Source organism: Homo sapiens, chromosome 3, assembly GCF_000001405.40.
Source record: "Homo sapiens chromosome 3, GRCh38.p14 Primary Assembly".
NCBI classification, from domain to species: domain Eukaryota; kingdom Metazoa; phylum Chordata; class Mammalia; order Primates; family Hominidae; genus Homo; species Homo sapiens.
The window spans coordinates 27,196,549-27,217,577 of record NC_000003.12 but is presented as its reverse complement, the minus strand read 5'-3'; the positions used below and the strand labels follow the sequence as shown (position 1 = coordinate 27,217,577).

The 21,029-nt window shown below is 38.7% G+C and overlaps 1 protein-coding gene and 1 pseudogene across 28 annotated transcripts in view; both read left to right on the top strand.

Moving 5' to 3' along the window:
* Nucleotides 1-21,029, top strand: part of NEK10 (NIMA related kinase 10) — a 262,900-nt gene that overhangs the window by 151,806 nt on the left and 90,065 nt on the right. For 23 of the 28 annotated variants that reach the window (XR_001740034.2, XM_047447506.1, NM_001394967.1 and 20 more), the window contains 2 exons: nucleotides 15,021-15,150; nucleotides 15,998-16,068. The exons of 1 other annotated variant lie outside the window; for it this stretch is intronic. Coding sequence is in view for 26 of the 27 variants with exons in the window: in XM_047447506.1 (XP_047303462.1) it covers nucleotides 15,021-15,150; nucleotides 15,998-16,068 (201 nt within the window). In the remaining variant the exon portion in view is untranslated. Of the gene's footprint in view, nucleotides 1-1,054; nucleotides 1,209-1,697; nucleotides 1,973-15,020; nucleotides 15,151-15,997; nucleotides 16,069-21,029 lie in introns of those variants that run through there. 4 more of the 28 variants (NM_001031741.5, NM_001304384.3, XM_011533414.3 and 1 more) reach the window with 3 other exon arrangements.
* On the top strand, nucleotides 2,491-3,016 carry MICOS10P3 (MICOS10 pseudogene 3; annotated as a pseudogene).

Genomic DNA, 21,029 nt, shown 5'->3' with positions numbered 1-21,029 from the left:
CCAGTGTTTGAGGTGGGGCCTGGTAGGAGGTGATTGGGTCATGGGGGCGGATGTCCCACTTTGGTGGTGCTGTTTTTGTGATAGAGTTCTCACAAGATCTCATTGTTTAAAAGTGTGTGACACCTCCCTACTCTCTCTCTTCCTCCTGCTCTGGCCATGCGAAGATGCCTGCTCCCACTTTACCTTCTGCCATGAGTCAAAGTTCCCTAAGGCCTCCACAGTCATGCCTCTTCTATAGCCTGTGCGCCACTTAAAACTTTTTTCTTTATAAATTACCCAGTCTCAGGGATTTCTTTATAGCAATGCGAGAGTGGACGAATACAGGATTTTCTTCTTTGTTTTGTAATGTTATGCTAGAGTTGGGTTGGAAAGTAAATCATGATATGTAGGGTTAAATAAAACCCATCTGAGGCCATGACTCACCAGATGCCTTAGATAGGAATTTGGGCAAGATAAAAAAATCAGAGGTTAGTCATCATTTTCATTGTCCTTATTTTCTAAGAAGCCTGTCAGTAAAATTTTTTTATCTTTATCACTCATAAGTAATTTATAAAATGTTTTTTATTTCAAAGTTTTTGGTTTTTTCTCTTTATTCAAAGCTTATATTTTATTTGGCTTTACTATGTCAGAATACAGCTTGTACAATTATAGTTTAGAATAAATTGATAAATTGTTCATACTCTGATGATTCAGATAATCATTGCATAGCATTTATCCCCAACTTATTGGTTTAATACAATAATAATAATTTATTTGCTCAAATTCTGCAGTTTGAACAGGGCTTATTAATAACAGCTTATCTCTGCTCCGTGAGGCATTAACTAGGGCAACTTAACTGGAATGGGAGGAATCTCTTTTAAGGAGGATATTGGTACTGGCTTTTGGCTGGGAGCTTACCTGGGGATATTGGCTGGGTTCTTGGTTTACTTCCATGTGTTCTCTTTAAATGGCTAGACTGGGCTTTGGTTTTTTCAGTATCGTGGTTGGAATCTGAGAGGGAATGTTCCAAGAGGTAGAGTTCTGAAAATATAGCCTGCATGTACAGGCATGCATCACAATTGCTAATGTTCCATTGGCTAAAGCCAGTCACATGGCCAAAACCAGAAATAATGTATGGAGGGACTATACAAGGGCATATATACTAGTAAAAGTGTTTTCTCAATAGATCACCAAAGAATTTGCCACACCTGATATATAGAAAAGTTTATGTAAGTTTTATGAATTCCTTGAAGATAATGTGTTTTGTTTTTAGACTGCAGTACTCAATATATATTTATCCAACTATATTTACTGTATTGAATTTGTAATGATACTGTCTAGAATTATTTGTCTTTTCTTTGACTATTAAGGACCCTTCTCTTGGGCAGGGGTTCTTTTCTTTCTGTTTCTTTTCTTTCTCAATGACCCCATTCACAAAGCTGGTTAGTTTATACTTTTCATAAATTTGAGACAGTAGAGAAAAATTTTAAATTAATGTGTATGTCAATTTAAAATCAGTGAAACTTTAGTGTTGGTACAATCAAGGTATACTTTCTGATATGGTTTGGATCTTTGTCCCCACCTAAATTTCATGTTGAATTTTAATCCCGTATGTTAGAGGTGGAGCCTGGTGGGAGGTGATTGTATTATGGGGGCGAATTTCTCCCTTGGTGCTGTTCTCATGATGGTGAGTTTTCGTGTGATCTGGTTGTTTAAAGTGTGCAGCACCTCTACCTTCGCTCTCCTGCTCCTGCTCTGGCCACATAAAACGTGCTGGCTCCTCCTTTGCCTTCTGCTATCATTGGAAGCTTCCTGATGCCTCCCAAGAAGCAAATGCCATCATGGTTCCTGTACAGCCTGCAGAACCGTGAGCCAATTAAACCTCTCTTCTTTCTAAATTACCTAGTCTCAGGTATTTCTTTGTAGTAGTGCAAGAACGGATTCATACACTCTTTAAATGTGATAAACAAAATAAAGTACAATCCTTATTTCAGCTTTGTTTACCTTTTGCCTTTCTCTCATTTAAACTGCCAACATCCAAGGAAAGAAGAGTCAAAACTCATCTGAGTAAATATAAAGATATTCTATGCCTTATATTTTAAAAATGTATTGCATTTGGCAATTCTTATAACACACTGAACAGGTCATTTTCATATTGTATAAGAAAGGAAGTTAAGGCACAAAGCAAATATCTTGTTTTCCACAGTCCTACAATTTTGAAGTGTCATTTCATTCAGCCACACCAGGTCCATTGCTAAAATAGTTTATTCTCTCCATATAGAGTTGGCATCCCATGGGTTACCCAGATAGTAGTTCATTCCTAAATGGAACACAATAAATCTGGAACTAAATAAAGTGCTTTATTTCCCTCTGTTTTGAAAATCTATATTGTGCAGAAAGAGAGAAGAAAGGATTATCTTTATGTGTTCAGAGATTAAGACTAATTTTGATGGTGTTAAGAGCCGAAACTATGGAAGTTTTCAAGGGTAATGCTTTTAAAGAAAATAGCTCGCGAGACTTGCAGGGGTTGGAGCGGGAAGCCGGCCAAGAGGAAAGCTGGAGGCGCCGGTGGGGAACAGGTCGGAGTTGGAGCTTGGCCGGAAGTGGGACCGGTGCCTGGCGGATGTGGTCGTGAAGATAGGCACTGGTTTTGGATTAGGAATTGTCTTCTCACCTTCTTTAAAAGAAGAATGTGGCCATTAGCCTTCCGTTCTGGCATGGGATTAGGAATGGCTTACTCCAACTGTCACATGATTTCCAGGCTCCATATCTTCTACACGGAAAATATGTCAAAGAGCAGGAGCAGTGACTTCACCTGAGAACATCCCAGTGGGAGGACAAGAGAAATTATGTTTATTCCTCAGGAATACTGAAGTGCCGTGAAGTAAGCTGCCATTCTTCTGTAACAATGTTATCAGTAATGCTTTAAACTCCAGCACCTGGTTATGTATTCGAAACCAAGTCTGTTTCTTGTTTTGTATTTTCTCTCTGGAAATGGTGAGGAGGTGGTCTTAAATAAATTAAACAAAAATAGGAAAAACAAAAAAAAGAAAGAAAGTAAAAGCTGCCTGCATTGCATTTGAGTGACTTGAATAAGTAAAGGGAAGCTGAGGTAGGCCATTCAGCTTCTTGCTTACAGGAGGAGGGAAACTAGCGATTTAGTGCAGGTAAAATGGGAGTAAATATGGACTCTCACTTTTTAACTTTTACCTAGAAATTATTGATGAAAAAAGCCAAGCTCCGTAAAATACTTGAAGAGATTTGTTCTGAGCCACATGTGAGGACCGTGACCCGTCACACTGCCTCAGGAGGTCCTGATAACATATGCCTAGGGGTGGTTGGGTTACAGCTTGGTTTTACATGTTTTAGGGAGACCTAAGACATCAATCAACATACGTAAGGTATACATTGATTTGGTCCAGAAAGGTAGGACAACTTGAAGCAAGTGGCGTGGGTGGGATTCATAGATTTTCTGATTGATGATTAGTTAAAACTGATATTATCTAAGACCTGGAATCAGTGGAAACAAGTGTCTGGGTTAAGATATGGGATTGTGGAGACCAAGGTTCTTATCATGTAGATGAAGTTGCATAGGTGGCTGCCCTTAGAGGCAATAGATGGCAAATGCTTTCTATTCCTACCTTTAAAAGGTTCTAGACTCTCAGTTAATCTCTTCAGGATCAGAAAAAGACCTGGAAAGGGAAGGAGATTCTCTGCAAAATGCATTTCCCCCACAAGAGACAGCTTTGCAGGGCCTTTAAAAATATGTCAAAGGAATATATTTTGGGGTAAAATACTTTGATTTTTTTCAGGGCCTGCTATCTGTCGTGTGATGCTACACCAGAGTCAGGTTGGAATTTGGTATCTTATTCCTACAAAGATCAGTCCTAAGACCTCTGTTGTAATGTTAATGCTGATCAGCTGTGCCTGAATTCCAAAAAGAGGAGATTATAATGAGGCATGTTTGAGCACCCTTACCTATCACGGCCTGAACTAGTTTTTCAGGTTTCTTTGGAATTCCCTTGGCCTACAGGATGGGTCCATGGATTCGGTCGAGGGGCTTAAAATTTTAGTTTTGGTTTATAAAACCTAGGAGTCATATATTGGACAATTGCTCATTTTTTCAAACCTTAATTTTTGGTCACGTTAGTAGAAACGATGACCAATTATGGCAAACCAGAATGTCAACAAAGCAAAATACCAAGGAAAACGGCTTGTTGTCATGTCAGAGGTACAGACAGCAAAGATCAGTTTTAATAAAATGTGACTTAAAGTTCCTCTCTCTGAAACCCCTTCTTTCTTTATTCCCCCTACTCTGTCTTTTATCTTGTTACCAGTGGAGGGAGTCCAGGTTCTTGGCATCTTGAACAAAGAATTGGACAGAACGCACAAAGCAAGGAAAGAATGAAGCAACAAAAACAGAGATTTATTTAAAATGAAAGTATGCTTCACAGGTGGGAGTGGGTTGAGCATAGGGGCTCAAGAGCCCTGTTACAGGATTTTCTGGGGTTTAAATACCCTCTAGAGGTTTCCATTGGTTACTTGGTGTATCCCCTATGTAAATGAAGAGGATGAAGTAAAGTTACAGTCATTTACTTGGGGTATGCCCAATGTAAATGGAGAGGATATTTCCTGTCATAGCTAAAGTGTTTCCATTTAATTTAGTTCTAGGAAGTCAGCATGAATTGGCCTTATGTTCCCTGCCTCCACACTCTATTCTCCTGCCTCCGTCTCACACTCTAGTTTGAGGGAAATTACGATAAAGTTACTCCCTGTGTGGCCCTGGCCTCAGTATCTTATCAAGCTATTATCTTTTAGTCCACCACCAACCAACAGTCACTGTCAAACATACTCAAGCCCTGGGTTCCCCATGTTTTCACCCCTCTTCCTCATTTTCTCCTTATCTACTTCCCGGAAATAACTACTATATAACATAGAAGAATAAATCACTAATTGTGAGAACTCACACATTGGCCTCAGAGAAGATATTTTGGGTAAAGGACATTCCTTGGTCCTCAAATGTCATCAAATCTGTGTTTTCTGTTGACAGATGTCTTTGTATCTGCTCAGCAAATGGGAATAGGGAGACAGAGTGAAATTGGTTGTGAGGAAGCTGTCGAAGGCCATGGCCATTGGTTTTCGCATATTCAGTGAGGGAACTTCTGCTTCACAGATGAAAGAGGAATACATTTCTTTTGTTCTTCAGCCACATAAGATTACAGATTTAGGATCTAGTTTGTGCAGCATTTTTTGAGCAAATATGGTGATGATTCAGGTTAAGACATCTATAATTCTTAAAAGTCACTTTGAAATATGCGTTAGCTATCTGTTAAAATAAAAATACCTTATTTTGCTTAAAAATCTTAAAACACAGATTTTAATACTGTACCAAAGCAATAATCAAAAATTATTTACATGTTCATGAATTTGTTTTGATAGAACAAATTTTAATTTGGAAAATATTGTTGACTCTGTCCTCAGCGATTAAACCACACTGAAAAACAAATGTAATCTTTATCTTAAAACTGTGCATATCTGTCACAAAGGTATTTTTAGTCTTTAATCGATAGACATAGCATTTGGAACAGGAATAGATATTACAAATTATCTCTCTGTCTTACAGATGTGAGGAAATTAATATCTACCCAACCTCACCTCCAAAGTCAAACAGCCTATTAAGGCCACAGAACAGTTTAAAAGTCAATTCATGAGAAATGTTATTTTAAAAAATAGTCTGTTTTCTTCATGGCATCTAATAAATTTTCAATCAATCAATCAATCAATTAATTAGTATATTAGTTGTCTCCTTTACTGGAATGTAAACTTCATGAGGCCAGGTATTTTGTGTGTGTTTGTTTGCTCCTGTATTCTACTACGTGCTCCTGGCACATAGTATTGCTTGGAGATGAACGAGTAAACATGCCAGATATGGGTTTCCATGAACTAGGGGCAAAGATCAGGAGGGAGGCTAACATGGGTGGGACAGGGTGAGAGTAGGCTGCCACTCGTGTTTTGAGATCATACATGCTTTTACCAAACTGGACCTAATGGAAAGGACAACTGACACCCCTGTCACCACTACCAACATTTTTACCTATAATAGTAAAGGTTCTTGGTCTATCTGACTTTGACTTTAATAGACTGAGGGTCAACTATTTGGTTGTCCACTCAGAACTCCTCAGAATTCAGGAATATGACAGTCCGTTCTTCACTACCATATTTATTCTGCTGCCTGTTTTTTTCTAGCTCACTTATTGTCACAGTCCCTATGAAATGTGACAGATCTCTCTATGTAATAATAATGCCACTTTGCATTTGTATAGTACTTAGTATTTTTCATGGCACTTGCACATTTATTATCTCATGAACAGATTCTACATAAATTGGAATGTCGCATGAAATGATCTGAAATCAATTGTGTCATTCTGTCAATGTCCACTGATCCTAGTGGAGAAATGAAAATTGAGTCTGATTTGACTCATCATTTTGCAGTAAAAACAAGAAACTAATTAAAGGCAGATCAACAGCTACACTGGTAATCACAGGTCCTGGTTTGCATAATGCAGTGTCAGTCTCTTCTGCTTTTTACTGTTATGAAATTTATGTATATTAGATATAAAATGTTTCCCTAACTTGAAGAAGTATTGCATTAATCTATCAAATAATGGATTGGTTTTAGTTGTAGCAGTTATCTACCACTCTTTCATAAAAAGGACATTGACAACTCTTCCAGGTGGAGTGTCTTGTCACTCTGGTTCATAAAATGTTATTTAGAGGTCTGAATCATGTGTAGGGGTGAAGATAACTTCCTCCTTCCTCACCCTTCTGAAGGTTTGATAATTTGAGTCTATAAAACAAATGCATAATAGACAGATTGATAGGAGAAAGGTATAGAAATTATTACTTGCACATGTGTACATAAGAACAATATGAAATATGAAAACTCAGGAAAGGCCAGATGACTGAAGTTTTATACCATCCAGAAGTCGCAGAAGGAATAGGGGCTTGGATTGTGCAAGACAGGTTATGGGAGGGAGGGACAAGAAAAGGCCTGGCTAGTGAAGGTGGTCTCGTTATACAGAGTGCTATGGTTTGAAAGTTTGTTCCATCCAAAACTTAGGTTGAAACTTAATTCCCCATGTGGCAGTATTAGGAGATGGGACCTTTAAGAGATCGCTAGATCATGAGAGAAGAGCCCTTATGATCTAGTGCATCATGAGGATCCATTCATGGATTAAGGAATTCATGAGTTATTATGAGAATGGGACTAGAGGGAGATCCAAGTGAGCACCCTCAGCCCCTTTGCCGTGTGATGCCTCATGGTGCCTCGGGACTCTGCAGAAAGTCTGCACCAGCAAGAGGGCCCTCACCAGATGCAGCCCCTCATCCTTGGATTTTCAGCCTCCAGAATTGTAAGAAACAAGTTCCTTTTCTTTATAAATTGTCTAGTTTCAGGTATTCTGTTATAAGGAACAGAAACGGAAAACAGACTAAGACACATGAAATTTCACAGGTAGCAGTTCTCAGAAAAAATAGATGGTGGCCTGTGGTAAAATGTCTCTTATCAGACTTTCAAAGGTGTCATACTCTCCCTCTCATTCATGTGAGTTAATCTTTCCTGGATTCGGATAGGAGTGGGGTGGGGGTGGGCTCAGAGAAACCCTAGCTGTTTATTTCATGAATGTAGATTTTCTCTACAGATGCAAATATTCTCCACAAAAGACAGATTTTCAAGAAGATTTCTGTGGTTTGCAGTTCCTTTGAATAGCTATATGGAAATATGCCAAAGAAGTGTTTTTTGGGGGTGAGATATTCTGGTTTTGTTCACATGCATGTCCCTAAACACAATCCACAGGAGCTAGGTGACCTAATAAGAGGGTTTGGCATCTAGAAACCAGTCGTGGCCCACCTTTGCTGTGGGACTAAGGAGGCTATTCTGATGGCTTCTACTCCAGTTTGTTTATTATTTAACTTAACATTTACAGAGACATTTGGTAAAAATGTTTATAAAAACTAGGCCTGAATTTAACATTTCATATCTTCAAATGTGTTTTGTACTTTAAGCTGCTGCTTATATTTTAAAGAGCTTTTAAATCATTGATTTCATTGGTGGTTAAGGCATGTTAATGCATAGCTTCATGCAACATGAGAGAAATAGAAAGCATTTAGAGAAGTGTCCCAAATGCCCAATATAAACATCCTGCTTTGCTATTTTTGTAAAGTAAGTGCAGAAAACCATAGATAGTGTTTAAATAGCTCTTTTTGTGCCTTTCTAGAATAAAGATGACTTAAACACTAACAAAGAAGGGTACATGAATAATACTGCAATTTAGGATTGCCAGATGAAATACAGGGTGGCCAATGAAATTTGAATTTTGAATAAACACCAATGAACATTTTAGTTTATGTCCCGTTTACTGTATTTTTTAGCATATTTTTCAACTATTGCATTTTTAAAAGTAATTCAAATTTAACTGGCTGTCCTATTTTTTAGTGGATAAAGCTGTCAATGCTGGATGCCGTCCAAAAGCAGGCAGGCTCTCAAATTTGTGTTAAAGGTGTGCCAATTTCTTTTAGTGGCATAGTATATTATTCCACAGCTCTTGAATGTGTCATCTAATTCTCTTGTCTCTCTGTAAGAGGTTTGTGTTCAGAAAAGTTAGAGCTGTTTAGGTATCAAATCTTTTTAACTAACTGCGTAACGGCAGTAGTCATCTGTGAGCTGAGAACATTTCCGTGATGCCAGGCTTATAGACAGCACATGCTCTGAGGATAAGGTTTTGAGAGACTCTTCACATCTGGAATGATGTTGCCCATTGAATATCCCCAATTGTGGATCTTGCAGACATACATGAATTAATATATTCCAAATTGATGTCATTTCTTCCTGCACATCTGCTCCCCCTGTATCTGTGTTAATGACTCTTATACCCATTTAGTCACCAGAACCAAATACTTGGGATCCTAGAGAAGGAGGGGATCATCTTTCCCTTCTCTTTTTCTCTTCCCCACATCCAATCAATTCTGAAGTCCTGTGGCTTTCATCTTCTCATTTCCCTGATCACCACATTAGTGGGCTTGTCCAGGCTTCCAGTCTCTTTTCTGGCTCAATCCCTTTACTCCTCCATAGTGGAGAATGCCATAAGGCCGATCAGGGTGCTCTTTAATTTTTATGGCCCTTGTGGGACGAGGTTATATTTTATCAATGCTATTAAGTGCTTATAATAAGTAGGACCTCATAGAAGAAGATCAAGGCATGGATGGATCTCTCTACATTCATGATTCTGCCTAGTGTCTTCTCTGCTAAGCTATGCTTATCTCACCATATATCTGAATATTATGTTGCTCACTTTTTCCAGAAAATGCACCGAGATTTATATCCCCATGGTTTTTCCAAGTTTCCGCACCCTCATTAGTTCTCATTAACTCCTATCGTACCATAGTGATGGTTTTTTGAGCCATTTCTCGGCAACGGTTTACCAACCTTCAGCAACCATAAATATCCATGGACATGCACACAAACATTCACATACACATACAAACACACAGACATCCACAATACATGCATACACACAAAAATACACACACACACATTTTATTCATCCTATATTGCTACATGCTGTACAATGAATTATAATTAGAGCATCATTTGATTTTCAGTCTAAATAAATGGTACTTACTGGCACACAGACTTAATTATGTCACCTCAGGTCAGAATTTTATCCTCATGAGTTTAGATAGAGTTTTGCCTCCTTGAGTGCACAAATAGTGGATCTTAAACCTTCAGACAGAAGGTTTATGTTCTTTTTTCAGTAACAGTGATAAGTTAGTTCTCTTTCTCCTTTGTATTTAAGGTACTCCCGGGAGATGAAGGTGTGATAGCCAATACCTGAGAACTAAATGTACTTTTTAATAGACTCAGAATTAACACATTGCAGTGGGATGCAGAAATCCCTTTTCTCTCTTTACCTAGTGAAGCAAATATTATTGGATAAATAACTTCAATAAGATAGACTTACAGTAGTAAGTCTATTTTTATTTATTTCTAAAATAGACTTCGTAATAGTCTTCAAACAATTTAGCCCTCACTGTGTCCCAAACTCCTTGAGATTCTTTTATTAATATTTTCTAACACTTATTAAGGGAACATTTTCTTTTATGACATCTCTAAATGTCATTGTTTCCAAGATGCTATATCATTATATTGTCAATGAGTTACTTCTTCAATGATAGTTTTTCAATTTCTCTTAAGGTTTTAATTTCTTCTTCAATTTCTCATACCTGTGCCCTAGTATTTCTTTCAGCTCATTAGTGGTGAAAATAAGCTAGTTCTTATAAACCCTTAGTTGTCAAATATTATCATCTTATCTTTTGAGGAAAGAACTAGCATTTAGAGGATAAATTTAACTGCTAATGTGGTAATGCTGGACACACCAGGAATTAGGGGCAAATCTGAAGCCAGCAGATGTCCTGGAAACATTAGCTCTTGACATCAGAAAGGTTCCCTGGGATGCAGAGTAGTCACCCTGGAGTCTTGCAGATTAAGAAAAAGCTCCCATAGCACACACACATATTTAAAAGGATTGCTTGAAGTGACTAGGTTTGAAGTGCAAATGGCAGCAGAAGTGGAAGTAGAAAAATAAATAGAAATGTTTCCCAGGAAGTCATGTGGGGGCAAAGACAGTCACAGGCCCAGGGCTTTAAGATATCTCCCAGGGAGCTATCTTCCTGTTGCAGATGCTCAGGCCTTTGTCCTGCAGGGTTGTTTTGTACACCTCAGAAACAGTGCTTGAAATTCAAGAAAATAAACATTGTTGACTTGGGATGAGTTCTCCACTCTAATTTATAAAATAGGCAAATTGTTTAGAGTCCACTGCTTTAACCCTATTTTCGTCAGTGGTTTGTAACAGAGCCTTCATCTCTGTGCGCACTTGAGGGGCTTGAAGAATGGAAATTAGGTCTGCGAGTTACCAGCATATGGTTTCAATGGAAGACTTGGATGTGAATGAAATTATCCAAGGAGAGAGTAAAGTATGAAGAGAAGATGAATGAGTGAATGAAGGAGGAAGCCACTGAAGGGTCATTATATGGTATCTGAGAGGGAGGAAGGAACCATTTTTTCTAATATTGCAACTTGCCACCTTACCTCCTCTCCAGACCTCCTTTATTCTAGTCGAGTTTATTTTCCTATAGCATTTTTCACTTATTAAAATACAACATCATTTACTTTTAAGTTATTTTCTTGTGTTTTATTTTATATCTTCTCTGCCTCCTGTCCCTTACTAGAAAGTGAGCCCCATGAGAACAGATTCCAAGCAGGTAGAAGAGTGACTAGTACTTCTACTAGTCACTAGTGCTTAGTCATGTTTACTGGCTGAGTGAAAAACATAGCAGTGTTTCAAGAGGAAAGTCTGCTACAAACTGAATGCTTGTGTCTCTCTAAAATTCTTATACTGAAATCCTAATCTGCAACGTGATGGTATTAGAAAATGTGGCCTGTGGTAGGTGATTAGGTCATGAGGGCTCTGCCCTCACCAATGGGATTAGTGCCCTTATAAAAGAGACATTGAAAATTTATCTTTTTTTCTTGTAAATTTGTTTGAGTTCATTGTAGATTCTGGATATTAGCCCTTTGTCAGATGAGTAGGTTGCGAAAATTTTCTCCCATTTTGTAGGTTGCCTGTTCACTCTGATGGTAGTTTCTTTTGCTGTGCAGAAGCTCTTTAGTTTAATTAGATCCCATTTGTCAATTTTGTCTTTTGTTGCCATTGCTTTTGGTGTTTTGGACATGAAGTCCTTGCCCATGCCTATGTCCTGAATGGTAATGCCTAGGTTTTCTTCTAGGGTTTTTATGGTTTTAGGTCTAACGTTTAAATCTTTAATCCATCTTGAATTGATTTTTGTATAAGGTGTAAGGAAGGGATCCAGTTTCAGCTTTCTACATATGGCTATCCAGTTTTCCCAGCACCATTTATTAAATAGGGAATCCTTTCCACATTGCTTGTTTTTCTCAGGTTTGTCAAAGATCAGATAGTTGTAGGTATGCGGCATTATTTCTGAGGGCTCTGTTCTGTTCCATTGATCTATATCTCTGTTTTGGTACCAGTACCATGCTGTTTTGGTTACTGTAGCCTTGTAGTATAGTTTGAAGTCAGGTAGTGTGATGCCTCCAGCTTTGTTCTTTTGGCTTAGGATTGACTTGGCGATGCGGGCTCTTTTTTGGTTCCATATGAACTTTAAAGTAGTTTTTTCCAATTCTGTGAAGAAAGTCATTGGTAGCTTGATGGGGATGGCATTGAATCTGTAAATTACCTTGGGCAGTATGGCCATTTTCACGATATTGATTCTTCCTACCCATGAGCATGGAATGTTTATCCATTTGTTTGTATCCTCTTTTATTTCCTTGAGCAGTGGTTTGTAGTTCTCCTTGAAGAGGTCCTTCAACCCCATCAAAAAGTGGGCGAAGGACATGAACAGACACTTCTCAAAAGAAGACATTTATGCAGCCTAAAAACACATGAAAAAATGCTCATCATCACTAGCCATCAGAGAAATGCAAATCAAAACCACTATGAGATACCATCTCACACCAGTTAGAATGGCAATCATTAAAAAGTCAGGAAACAACAGGTGCTGGAGAGGATGTGGAGAAATAGGAACACTTTTACACTGTTGGTGGGACTGTAAACTAGTTCAACCATTGTGGAAGTCAGTGTGGCGATTCCTCAGGGATCTAGAACTAGAAATACCATTTGACCCAGCCATCCCATTACTGGGTATATACCCAAATGACTATAAATCATGCTGCTATAAAGACACATGCACACGTGTGTTTATTGCGGCATCATTCACAATAGCAAAGACTTGGAACCAACCCAAATGTCCAACAATGATAGACTGGATTAAGAAAATGTGGCACATATACACCATGGAATACTATGCAGCCATAAAAAATGATGAGTTCATGTCCTTTGTAGGGACATGGATGAAATTGGAAATCATCATTCTCAGTAAACTATCGCAAGAACAAAAAACCAAACACTGCATATTCTCACTCATAGGTGGGAACTGAACAATGAGATCACAGGGACACAGGAAGGGGAATATCACACTCTGGGGACTGTGGTGGGGTGGGGGGAGGGGGGAGGGATAGCATTGGGAGATATACCTAATGCTAGATGACGAGTTAGTGGGTGCAGCGCACCAGCATGGCACATGTATACATATGTAACTAACCTGCACAATGTGCACATGTACCCTAAAACTTAAAGTATAATAAAAAAAAAAAAAAAAAAAACAACAACAAAAAAAAAAAAAAAAAAAGAAAATTTATCTTTTGAGGAGAAAATGGAAAGCTGTCCTCCAAACAAGTGCAGGTGCTGGCTGTGGGGAGTGAAAGCACACCAAAGATAGGAAATGCAAAAGGGATTTGAGGGGATATGGGTGGAACACTCACAGCTTGTGCTTTGTGATCTTTTGGAAATATGAAGCAAATCTTCTGAGATCTCAGTAGATGAGAATATGAGAAATTTGTCTGTGGGGAGCCAAAGACATTTTCTGTGTTGAGCATGTTTTCTTCTTGTTAAAGCATTTTTTTTTTAACATGAGCAGTTGATAAAGGGATGGCAGGGAATACTTTTTGTACATTTAGAACCGCAGAGCCCTGCGGAAGTCTCAGCCCCAATTCCCCCATTTCCGTATTATTGAACTGAAAAACACTAAATATGAAAATGCTTAACTGATAGACCTAGAAATCATACTTTTCTTTGCAAATACATACTATAAATCTTAAACTAGGAATTCTTCTTCCTCTCAAGAACAGTAATTTGTTGATTATTTTTAAGTCAATACTGATGTATACCTGTCTTGATTGTTTTGATGCCAATTTATAAATTTCTTTATACCTTAGCCATTGTCAAAGCTAACTATATTAATCTTTACTCCATTAGAGTACTGAGGCCAGACCCAAGTACTTATTATGGAACTGAATTAGCAAGCTACTTAATTTAGGGTGTGTGTGTGTTGAGTACTTTTAGTACTCTGTTTTTTAGTGTACATATATGTTAGAGGAAGCTTCTATTAGTACAAAATGTTCAAGGGAACTACACTCGCCTTCACAAAAATTAAATCTAATTAAATTAAAAAATAGATTCATGAACCGTTGCAAATTATTTAAATGTTGTTTAAATTGTGTGGCAATTTCAGAAGCAGTGAACATGGTAGATATTGTCATTTCCCGCAACATATTTAAATATGGTCTTCCCCCTACTTTATATGCTAGAGCTGAATAGCAAAGGGAAAGGCTCTATCAGTCAGTTTTTTTCCAAATTAACACCTTATCATTAGTCACCACAAAGTCTCAGTGGCATTCAACTTCAGAGTCACAGGTATGTGAGCCTGCTAGGCTAGTTCTCCTGCACCCTGTTGGTATATGGGTTGTCTGGGGGCAGACTGGTTCTGTGTGTCTTATGCTGGGCCCAGGCTGCAAGGGTGGAAGCTACCTGTTACACATTCTTCCTCTGGTAGTGGACCGAAGCTCCTAGAAGGATAAATGGAAGCCCTCAGTACCTGTTCAGACTGAGGCTCTAATCAGGTTATTGTCACTTCCACATTCCATTGGTGGTCAAAGGAAGAAAACACAGTCAAAGCCAAAAGCAGGAATGGATGATGAGCACTGCCCAGAAGAGGCTACCACAAGGATGGGATGTACAGAAGCTCCCAGAGCAGCAAAGAACTGGGGCCAGCAACTCCATCTACCACAGTGGGCTTGCTCTTTCTGGAAATAAACACCCTTGGATGCATACTAGGTGATACTTATATGAGTTACTGGTATTTAGTGCTTAAGCTGGAATTGATATGCTTCCTGGTTCATCTAAGGCTGGGAAATTTCAAACAGACTTTTTGATATCCTTTCCTGAAATAGTGATTAAGTTAAACATTTCAGATACTTAAAAAATAACTCCAATAAAGCTTGAAAATTGGATCTTTCTGAGCGGATTCTCCCTTCCTTAGCATGTATTAATGTCCTTATTTTACTTCAGCCCCGAGGTACTGAAGAGTGAGCCGTATGGGGAGAAGGCTGATGTCTGGGCAGTAGGCTGCATCCTTTATCAGATGGCGACTTTGAGTCCCCCCTTCTACAGCACTAACATGCTGTCCTTGGCTACAAAAGTAAGCAACGCTGGGAGACAGAAGGGTCTCGTGTAGCTAAAAATGCAATTCTTTTTCTTATTAAACAGATCTTTGTGATTTGTATATAACTGCCCATTAAAAGCAAGAATTGTTTTTATTAACTGCATGATCCAGTTTATTTTTTCCGCTTTCTTCTAAATATATATCTCATGTAATGGCTTATTTCCCTCTATAATTGTCTTTATTTATAATACAAAATTATTTTTAAAAAGACGTTTGGTCTTCTATTATTTATTTATTTAATTTATTTATTTTTGAGACAGAGTCTCACTCTGTCAGCCAGGCTGGCGTGCAGTGACATGATCTTGGCTCACTGCAACCTCCGCCTCCTGGGCTCAAGCAATTCTCCTGCCTCAGCCTCCTGAGTAGCTGGGATTACAGGTATGTGCCACCATGCCCGAATTTTTTATTTTTTTTTTTAGGTTTCACCATGTTGGCCAGGCTGGTCTTGAACTCCTGACCTCAGGTAATCCACCCACCTTGGCCTCCCAAACTGCTGGGATTATAGACGTGAGCCACTGCGCCCAGCTGGTCTTTTATTTTTAATTGCAGTCTGGACTACTCACAATCCAGCACCTTATATTATCCCATACACCATTTTATTATGAATCTAAGGTTAATTTTTAACTCAGCTTGGATAATATAATTCCAGTTCAAGAGCTGTTTAATTGATGCAAATGTTTTATTTGGTCGGGATTTCTGACTAAAATTTATGTGTGAAGTTATCCTGCTTAATTAGTAACTCTCAGGTTATGGTCAAGTATTAACTATTCAAAGACATCCGTGGCCCCTTTACTTCCATCACTCTAGTCTGTTTGTTTTGCAGATAGTGGAGGCGGTATATGAACCAGTCCCAGAAGGTATCTACTCTGAAAAAGTAACAGACACCATCAGCAGGTAATTAGTCTTGCGGCTTCAGACATGTAGGGACAATCAAGAAATACCTCATTTCTATAATAAATCACTATTTATGGATAAAAGGTCATGAAGAGAAAGAGTCCCTACATAATCCAAATCTAGAAAGATGTTTGTGCATCATCAGTAACAGTGACTATTTGGATGCTACTTAAGTGTCCAAGAGGAAGTAGAGCGTTCACTTATTATGCAACCACTAGAACGATTATTTGGAAGGGTTTGTAACAACCTGTAAAACACATTATGATATGTGGGTAAGACAAATATGATGTAAAGCTGTTTGTAACCATGACAAACCTCATAAAAATATGCAAAAAATTGGAAAAAGGCCAGACAAGAACACATGAAACAAAAAGCCATGTTAGATGATAAAGTTGCAGGTACTTTTTAATTTCCATTTTTAAACTGATAATGTGATTTATCATAATTTTTCATAGAGAATCAGGAGCTCCAGCTATCACTATAGCAGGAGTTTAATGAAAGTCATTATTTAGTTGTACTTCCAAAGTTTTGGCCAATCCCTGCTGGCCTGTCACCCATGCTCCCTCCCACTTCCCCTTCTGTTTTCTCTGCTCCAGCCACATGGTGCTTCCCACTAGTCCTGGCATGCACCCTCCTTCTAGACTTTTGCCCTTGCTTTCATGGTTTCCTAGAACTCTCTTTCCTCAGATATATGTGTGACACAGGCCCTCACTTCCTCTGGGTCTCTGCTAAAATGTTCCCCACCCTGATGGCCCCACTACCTCACAGTACTCTCTAACCTCCTTGCCTGCTTTAAAAAGCTCACAGCACTCATCATCCCTGACATATTATACATGTGCATACATGAGTTTTGTTTATCGTCTGTCTCTTCCCCACCAAAATGGAAACTCAAGAGCAGGGACTTAGTCAGTTAATTTGTAGCTTTTATTGCCCAAAGCAGTGGCTGGCACAGAGTAGACCCTTAATAAATATTGCTTGTATGAATAAATGACTCGTGTATCTGGCTGATTGCTATTTCTGTACCATCTTGGGTACTTAAGTTGCATCTTGAGTACTTAAGTTGGGTACTTAAGTTGATGGGATTTCTCCATCCCATCAAACTGAGTATTTTGGATTGTAGAAATTCTAGAGTCACCCCAGATAGAATCTTTTTTCATCTGCCTTCTGAGTCTTTTAAAACTTGGGTTGGTATCTATACTAGCACTTAGCCCCATCTCTGATGAACTATAATAGATGTATTATTGTGGCTGTACCCCTTTCCCTTTGATTTATCCTTCTAGCCCATTGTTTGTGCTAATATTACTCCTCACCTGTTTTTGTAGGATGATATCTAAACCTTTCTTTCTTTGGCACAATACTAATCTACAGTCTTATTTTTTTAATTGATTTTTTTAAAATTTTTAAGTTCAGAGGTACATGTGCAGGTTTGTTATACAAGGTAAACTTGTGTCATGGGGGTTTGTTGTATAGATTGTTTCATCACCCAGCTATTAAGCCTAGTGCCCAATAGCTATTTTTCCTGATGCTCTCCTTCCTCCTGCCCTCCACCATCCAATAACTCCCAGTGTCTGCTGTTCCCCTTTATGGATCCAGGTGTTCTCATCATTTAGCTCCCACTTACAAGTGAAAACATGTAGTATTTGGTTTTCTGTTCCTGCATTAGTTTGCTAAGGATAATGGCCTCCAGCTCCAGCCATGTTCCTACAAAAGACATGATGTTGTTGCTTTTTATGGCTACATAGTATTCCATGGTGTGTATATACCATATTTTCTTTATCCAGCCTAGAATTTATGGGCATTTATGTTGATTCCATGTCTTTGCTATTGTGAATAGTGCTGCAATGAACATATGTGTGCATGTGTTTTTATGATAGAATGATTCGTATTCCTTTAGGTATAGAGCCAGTAATGGGATTGCTGGGTTGAATGGTAGTTCTGTTTTTATGTCTTTGGGGAATCACTACACATTGTTTTCCACAATGGTAGAACTAATTTACACTCCCACCAACAGTGCATAAGTGTTCCTTTTTCGCTGAACCTTTCCAGCATCTGTTATTTTTTGACTTTTTAATAATAGCCATTCTGACTGGTATAAGATGGTATCTCATTGTGATTTTGATTTGCATTTATGTAATGATCAGTAATGTTGAGCTTTATTTCATGCTTGTTGGCTACATGTATGCCTTCTTTTGTGAAGTGTCTGTTCATGTTCTTTGCCCACTTTTTAATGGGGTTGTTTTTCTCTTGTAAATTTGCTTAAGTTCCTTATAGAAACTGCATATTAGACCTTTGTCAGGTGCATAGTTTGCAAAAATTTTCTTCTGTTCTGTAGATTGTCTGTTTACTCTGTTGATAGTATCCTTTGCTGTGCAGAAGCTCTTTAGTTTAATTAAATCCCACTTGTCAATTTTGTCTTTTTTTGTTTTTTTTTTTTTTTGAGATGGAGTCTTGCTCTGTCGCCCAGGCTGGAGTGCAGTGGTGTGATCTCGGCTCACTGCAACCTCCACCTCCCAGGTTCAAGCGATTCTCCTGCCTCAGCCTCCTGAGTAGCTGGGACTGTAGGCCTGTGCCACCACACCTGGCTAATTTCTTTTTGTATTTTTAGTAGAGACGGGTTTCACGGTGTTAGCCAGGATGGTCTCTATCTCCTGACCTCATGATCTACACGCCTCGGCCTCCCAAAGTGCTGGGATTACAGTCGTGAGTCACCGCACCTGGCCCCCAACTTGTCAATTTTTGCTTTTGGTATCTTTGTCATGAAATCTTTGCCTGTGCCTATGTTCTGAATGGTATTGCCTAGGTTGTCTTCCAGGGTTTTTATAGTTTTGGGTTTCACATTTAAGTCTTTAATCTGTCTTGAGTTGATTTTTGTATATGGGGTTCAGTTCAGATTTTTGTAAAGGAGTTCATTTTCAGTTTTCTGCAACTGGCTAGCCAGTTATCCCAGCACCATTTGTTACATAGGGAATCTTTCCCCCATTGCTTGTTTTTGTCAGGTTTGTTGAAGATCAGATGGTGGTTGTACGTGTGCAGCCTTATTTCTGGGTTCTCTTTTCTGTTCCATTGGTCTATGTGTCTGTTTTTGTATCAATACCATGCTGTTTTGGTTACTGTAGCCCTGTAGTATAGTTTGAAGTCAGGTAGCATGATGACTCAAGCTTTGTTTTTTTTTTTTTTTGCTTAGGATTGTCTTGGCTATTCAGTTGCTCTTTTGGTTCCATGTAAATTTAAAATCCTTTTTTTAGTGGTGTGAAGAATGTCACTGGTAGTTTGATAAGAATAGCATTGAATCTACAAGTTGCTTTGGGCAGTATTGTCATTTTAATGGTATTGATTCTTTCTATCTGTGAGCATGGGGTATTTTTCCATTTGTTTGTGTCATCTCTGATTTCTTTGAGCAGTGTTTTCTAGTTCTCTCTGTAAAGCTCTTTTACTGGTTAGCTGTATTCCTAGGTATTTTATTCTTTTTTTGGCAATTGTAAATGGGATTGCATGCCTGATCTGGCTCTTGGCTTGACCCACAGCCGATGTTATACTGAATGGGCAAGAGCTGGAAGCATTTCTCTTGAAAATCAGCACAAGACAATACTTCAACATAGTATTGACGAGTTAATGGGTGCAGCACACCAATATGGCACATGTATACGTATGTAACTAACCTGCACGTTGTGCACATGTACCCTAAAACTTGAAGTATAATAAAAAAAAAAAAAGAAAGAAAGTACTGGTCAGAGCAGTCAGGCAAGGGAAAGAAAGGGCATCCATATAGGAAGAGAAGAAGTCAAACTATCCCTGTTTGCAGATGACATTATCCTGTATCTAGAAAACCCAATAGTATTGGCTCAAAAACTCCTTAAGCTTATAAACAACTTCAGCGAAGTTGCAGGATACAAAACCAATGTGCAAAAATCACTAGCATTTCTATATAACAACAGTGAAGCCGAAATCTACAGTCTTAAGGCCTCAGGCTCTGAAGACAGGCCTACCTGGGGCTAAGTCATGTAAACAGTTGCAAACTCTAAGAAGTGATTTGAGGCCAGGTGCGGTGGCTCACACCTGTGATACCAGCACTTTGGGAGGCTGAGGCAGGCAGATCACCTGAGGTCAGGTGTTTGAGACCAGCCTGGCCAACATGGTGAAACCCCATCTCTATTAAAAATACAAAAATTAGCCAGGCCTGGTGGTGTGCGCCTGTAATTCCAGCTACTCGGGAGGCTGAGGCAGGAGAATCACCTGAATCTGGGAAGTGGAGGTTGCAATGAGCTGAGATTGAGCCGTTGCACTCTAGCCTGGGTGAAAAGAGCAAAACTCCATCTCAAAAAAATTTTTTTAAATAAAAATAAAAAAAAAGAGTGATTTGACCATTATTTCTGCGTCCCTGTTTTCTGATCTAGTAGAATGAGAATCATAATAGTACCAGTCTCATTAGGCTGATGTGATGATTACACAAAGTAACATATGCAAATCACTTAGGATAGGGCTTGCAGAATGGTAAATACTTGAGCAATTTTGGCAATCATCATGGTTAGTATTATGGGAAATGAGACGAACCTGTCTTTAAATCATTTGATTCCACAAACACTGGATCATGCCTTGTTGCTAATGAATCCAAATATATTTAAACTGCTCATCTCTGTGATTTGTTCCTGTTGTCTGTTGTTTTTTGGAAAGTACATTAAAAATTGACAGAGTCGTCAGAGGTGTCAAGACAAAAGTACCATATTTGCTCATTTAATTTCTCCTTTTAATAGGTATTTGAGTGCCACAAAGGGCGAGGGAAAGGTAGCGCAAATAACAAGGTTCAGAGACGTTGCTTTGATTTTGTGAATCTGGGCAAATAGACTGTAAATCTCTTCTGAAACTAATAGACCCTGGCTATGGCTACCCAGGACTCTTGGGGTTAACATACTAGTAGGGGAGTCAGATAGCAACATTGGAGTGTAAAGGTTTAGAGCGTCACC